The sequence below is a fragment of the Homo sapiens genome, chromosome 9 (genome assembly GCF_000001405.40).
Source record: "Homo sapiens chromosome 9, GRCh38.p14 Primary Assembly".
Taxonomy (NCBI): domain Eukaryota; kingdom Metazoa; phylum Chordata; class Mammalia; order Primates; family Hominidae; genus Homo; species Homo sapiens.
In genome coordinates this window covers 108,697,017-108,703,036 of record NC_000009.12, presented here as the reverse complement: position 1 = coordinate 108,703,036, position 6,020 = coordinate 108,697,017, and positions in this window count along the sequence as shown.

Below are 6,020 nucleotides of genomic sequence, written 5' to 3'. Positions count from 1 at the left end.
CCCCAGAATCTTCCATAATCTTTATAGGCCTGGCTGGATTCATCTCTGACCCTTCTCTGCCACCTGATCTTCTAGCCAGCATCAGACGCAACTTGGTCATCTTTTCTTAAATACGACCAGCTAGTGGGACAGATGTTGAGTCACTGTCTGGGAAAATAGGGCCTAGGGGCATCTGTGAAAGTTCATCACGTTTCAGTGGGGCTTTCTGCTGGCTTTCACAGAAGAATGCACCAATAGTGCAGGCCCAGCCACAGATCAGAACCACAGAGAGGTAAATCCCTGGCCTTGACTCTGCCTTAAGGTCCCACAACTCCTCTGATTTTGGGGAACCAAGTAAGCCTCTTTGCTCAAAAAGTATTATTGCTTCCTCTTGGTTTCCAAAGTAAAATTCATTGCTTTCCCAAATCTGTCTTTAACTTCGGTCTTCAGCTTGTGGCACTGGTTTGGTATAATTAGAAAATGGTTTTATTTTTCTCCTGCCAGGGCCTCCAAAGGTATACTGTTAGTGCTCCTTCTTCTACCCCATGGGAACAGCTGGGGACAGAACCCATCACTTGCTGGTCACCTTCAGCCATGAGCCATACCTTGTTTTCAAGGACAGGATGAGTATCCCTTTCCAAAATGCTTAAGACCAGAAGTGTTCCTGATTTCAAAGTTTTTCTGGATTTTGGAATATTTGCATATGCATAATGAGATATCTTAGGGATGGCACCCAAGTCTAAACATGAAATTCAAATTCATTTATATTTTATATGTACCTTATACACAGAGCCTGAAGGTCATTGTATAGATATTTTTAAATAATTTTGTGGATGGAACCAAGTTTGTGTATGTTGAACCATCAGAAAGCAAAGGAGAGGAGAGCTAGCTATCTCATATTGGTGCTCTAAAAGCTTCAGATTTGGAGTGTTTTGGATTTTAGATTTTTGGACTAGGGATGCTCAACTACTATTAAAAGCCCAATTCAAACCAAAATCTTCATCCATGGCCAGTTCAAAACATGGCTCTTCCCCCACCCAGTCCCCACCTCAGACATGGCCTGTGGCTTGGGGACCTACTTTGTGGCATTCCGCTGACCCTGGCCACCTGACAGACCCCAGAACTCAGTGGCCATGTTGCACTTCAGAGCCCACCCCTCACTCATCCCTGCAGGAGTGTGTCCCCACAGCTCATCGCATGGCTGGTTCCATCTCAGCCTTCAGGCTCAGCTTCGATGTCTCTGATCAGGAAGTACGACCCTGACTACCCTCTCTGAAGGTGCCCAGCTGGGATCTCTAGCACATAGTAATCTGAGTTCTTTTCACCATTTTAATTAGTTTGATTTGTTGTTGTTAGCTGAAGTATGGTCTGCTTTCTCCTACAGTAGTGTTACTTTAACTCTGAGACAGCAGAAACTATGCTTGTCTTGTTCGAGAGTTATATATCCGTGGCTTAACTCCGTGCCTGTCTACCATAGGTGCTCAAAAATATCTGTTTAACTAATAATGAGATCCTACTTGGAATCAAATTTCAATATTTTACTTAATGGCCAAATAAAAGTTTGAAAACTTTGAAATTACTGATACCTGATCTTTTTTTTTTTTCCTTGTTTTAGCCTGGAAAAGTGTCAGTTTCATATGGTTCAATCTAATATTTGAAGCATTTGCATTAAAGTCAACAGCAAGATCAAGATGGTTTTTATTGCTATTATGTTACATGTTCCTGGAAATTTAGTTCTGGTCAACATAATAAAGTGAGGAAAAACAGATAAAATATTGGAAATACTAGCTGCAGAGGGTAAAATTGCCTAGCTGCAGAACCAACAAAAATCAACTAAAAAATTTAAGAGTCCTAATAAATGAGTTCAATAAGATGGCCATACAAAATATAGACAACAAGAGAATAATGGCAAATATCTCATTCATGATAGTAACAGTAATGACGATAACATTATAAGACTATCAATAACAACCACAAACTCTGGCAACTAAGATACGTATGTGATTCCATATAAAGAAAACAACTATAAAACTTCTCAGTGGGTCTTTAAAGAAAACTTGATAATTGGGATGACAAAGATATTTTGGGGTGGGAAGACTCAATGCTACACAAATTACAGTTCTCTCCAAAATTAATGTCATCATTTATTTCCATTCCAATCCAAATTCGAATAGAACTTTGGGGGCAACTTGACAAAAGCAAATGCAATGATTATCTGAGAGAAAAAAATCAGATCAGCCAAGAGTTTTCTCAAAAAGAGAAATGTGTAGGAAAATTTTCTGCCAGATACTAAATAAACTATCATGCTGTGGTAATTAAAACAGTGTGACAATGGCCCATGAATAAGGTTATATATGAGTGAGGTGGAATAGGAACTCGAGAAGCCAAATCACTTATATACAATAAGTTCGTGCGTACCACTGGCTGCACTTAAATCCAGAGGAGAGATGATATACCTTATAAGGCATTTGAGGATCACTAGCTACCATTTAGAAAGATAAATTCCTGCCTCACAACTCATACCTAAATTTCAGATGAATTAATTTAAATATTTCTGTACAAGTTAAACCTTAAATGTTCTAGAAGAAAATATAAAAGGATATGGTTATTCCGTCTGAGATAGAGATGGACTTTTAGTAAATAAGCTAAACATAAAAACTTCAAAGGAAAAAAACTACAGAATTGAAAGGAAGCTGTCAAACTGGGTAATGTTTTCAACATAAATGATATAAAAATGGTTGAAATTTATAATAAATAAAGAGTTTTTTCAAATGAAAAAAAAGGTAAGTATCACAATTAAGATGGGCACAGGACATAAATAGGCAAGTCATGAAATGAGAAATAGGATCAGACGATAAGCCTCGTATACAAAGGTGGAATTAACCAACACAGGAACTGCCCCACCTCAACTATTCTTGCTATATGAAATAATGCACATTTAAATCAACTTATGGGACTGCATTGCAGGCCACAGGCAGAAAGAACTTCTAGCAAAGCTGTATTTTCTTCTCTTTTGGCATTCAGATGAACCTACCTCAGTTAAGATTGTCCCTTTCTTACAGAATCGTACTGACGACAAATAGAATTTAGGCTACTGACGACAGATACAATTTAGGCTACCCATGTCAACATCCTAAGTTGCTCCTGCCATTCTCCGAATGCTGTGCTCTCTGAAGGCACAGAGTCAAGATCCTAAGGTATTACAGATGAGAGGTTAAGAAAAAGTTTCATGGCAATATAACAAGAGTCACCAACTTCTTAGCCTGAGGTAATTGGGTCATCTCAGCCTAGGACACTTTCTCTGCTAGTTAGCCAATTTAACCATTAGGGTCAATTTCTTACAGTATTCCACTCTTGATACCAAATTATGGATCAGTAAGGACTGCAGATAACTTTGGTTGTAAACAACAAACAACAAGCAACAATAACAATCGCTTCCGCTCAAAATGGCTTAAATGTGCATTATTTCACATAGGAAGATGTCCAACAATGTGAGATTAGTTAAATAAACTAATCATGCAATGTTCATGGTATTTAAAGTGAAAAAATGAGAGCGTTACCAGAACATTGAAGATTGGAGAGGAATCTTTGGGTATAATTAATGTTATGATCACTACTGTTTAATAAACAATTGCTATGTATATACCAGTTATTGTGCTAAAGGCTTTACCTGCATTACTTCATTCGATCTGTCCAACTGCACTGTGAGGAAGGTACTATTCTTACTCCTTTTACAGATGAGAAAGCCAACACTGAGATTTCATAACTTGCACAATTAAATGGTGGAACAAACAGTTCAAACTCAGGTTAGCTTCATTGCAATGCTTGTGCTTAATTAAAACTCTGAGATATTTTTGCTTTTTCTGTCTTCCTTGCCATGGTATTCAGTAAATTTCCCAATCCTTTCCTTTCTTCCCTTCCCTGCCCTTCCCTGCCCTACCCTGCCTTGCCCTGCCTTCCCCTCCCTTGCCCTGCCTTCCCCTCCCTTCCCCTCCATCCCCCTTTCCCTTCCCCTTTGCCTTCCCCTTTCCCTTCTCTTTCTTCTCCTTTCCCTTCCTTCCCTTCCCTTTCTTTTTCTTTCCCTTTCTCTTTCTCTTCCATTCCCTCCCCATCCACCTTCTCTTCTCTTCTTTTCTTTCTTCCTAACTGGGTCTTGCTCTGTTGCCCAGGATGGAGTGCAGTGGTATGAGCATGACTCACTGCAGCCTCAACCTTTTCGGCTCAAGCAGTCCTACAGCCTTAGCCTCCCTAGTAGGTAGGACTATAGACATGCACTACCACATTCAGCTAATGTTTTGTTTTAAATTTTTTGTAGAGACTGAGTTTCAGCATTTGGCCAGGCTAGTCTTGAACTTCTGAGCTCAAATGATCCTCTTGCCTTGGCCTCCCAAAGTGTTGGGAGTATAGTCATGAGCCACTATGACTGGCCTATCAATTCTTTCTTTAAATTTTATTTCTATGCTTTCCTCTTATGTCCAATATTAGCCGAGTTCAGGCCCTTTTTATTTTTAGCTTAGATAATCCCTGTAGTCATCTCCCTTTTCCATTTTCTCTTGCTCATACCATGAATTCATTTTATCTGTTACTTCCAGATTAATCTTCCAAAATGAAAACATTCCTTTCTCGCCAAATATCTGCTCAGAAAAATCTCTGGGGATATCTAAATGCTTACCAAAGTCTAAACTCAATGACTTGGTATTCAAGGCTCTTCACAATTTAATTTCAACTTGCCTGGTCAACTTTTTCTTTCATCATTTCTCTAAATCCAGAGATGTCCTGGACCTGTTTTTGTAAATAAAGTTTTATTGGGACACAGCTACCCCTATTTATTAGAATGTTATCTATGGTGGCTTTTTGTGTAGCAGAGATGAATACTTGTGAAAGAGATTATATAGCTTACAGAACCCAGAATATGTACTATTTGGCTTTTCATAGAACAAGTTTGTGAACACCTGCTCTAGATGAACCCATTACTCTAACGCAAATGGTTCTATTTGTCTCTGCCTTAAATAATTTTTGGAAGAATGCAGGATAGTTAAAAAACATGTACAATGTTTCTTGGATACCATTTGAATTTTCTTGCCTCCATGCCTTAAATTTTTTTTTCTATTCAATGAGTGAGTGGTTAAACAAATTCCATGGTATGTCTATACTATGGGATATTATTCATAAATATATTCCCTATGGGATGTTATTCATAAATATATTCTCTTGGATGAATCTCAAGGGAATGATGGTGAATGAAATCCCAAAAGGTTATATACTGCGTGACTCTATTTCTATACCTTTCTTGAACTGATACAATTATGGCGGTACAGAACACACTGCTGATTGTTGGGGGTTAGGAAAGAGAGATGGGGGAAGTTGGGTGTGGTTATAAAGCAACACAAGGAATCCTTAAGATGAAGTTATGTATCTTGACTGTTGGGGATGCATGAACCTACACATGTGATAAAAATGGATAGAACTAAATAACACACATACAAGTACAAATAAAATGAAATCTGAATAAGATCAGTGGATTATATCAAGGCCAAGGCCTTGCTTTTGATATTTACTAAAGTTTTTGTAGTTTTGCAAGATGCTACCACTGGGGAAATGGGATAAAGGGTACATGAACTCTCTCTCTATTATTTCTTATAACTGCATGTGAATCTACAATTATCGCAAACCAAAAAAGTTTAAGAATGCAATATAAGATAACTAAGGAGAAACCATAAGTAGTCAGTTTTTTCTTCATGTCAATAAATGGTAGACTTTAAATTGGATAAAAAGCCTGTCTTAAGCTTTGGAAATCCAATGCCTTTCTCTTTTGACAAAGTTTGGTTCAATAAATGCATAACTATCATATATTAAGTTGTGCAAGATATCAACAAAAACAGCATTTAGAAATGTGTAATAGCCAGTATGTGAGATCAGGTACAATAAAGTTAACTTAGTTAAAAATGTATATATTGCATCTTTTATTTTAGATTAATACTGTTAATAAAACAACATCGCCATGTTTTCCTAATCAGGGAGACATTTTCCCTGTGTCTGCT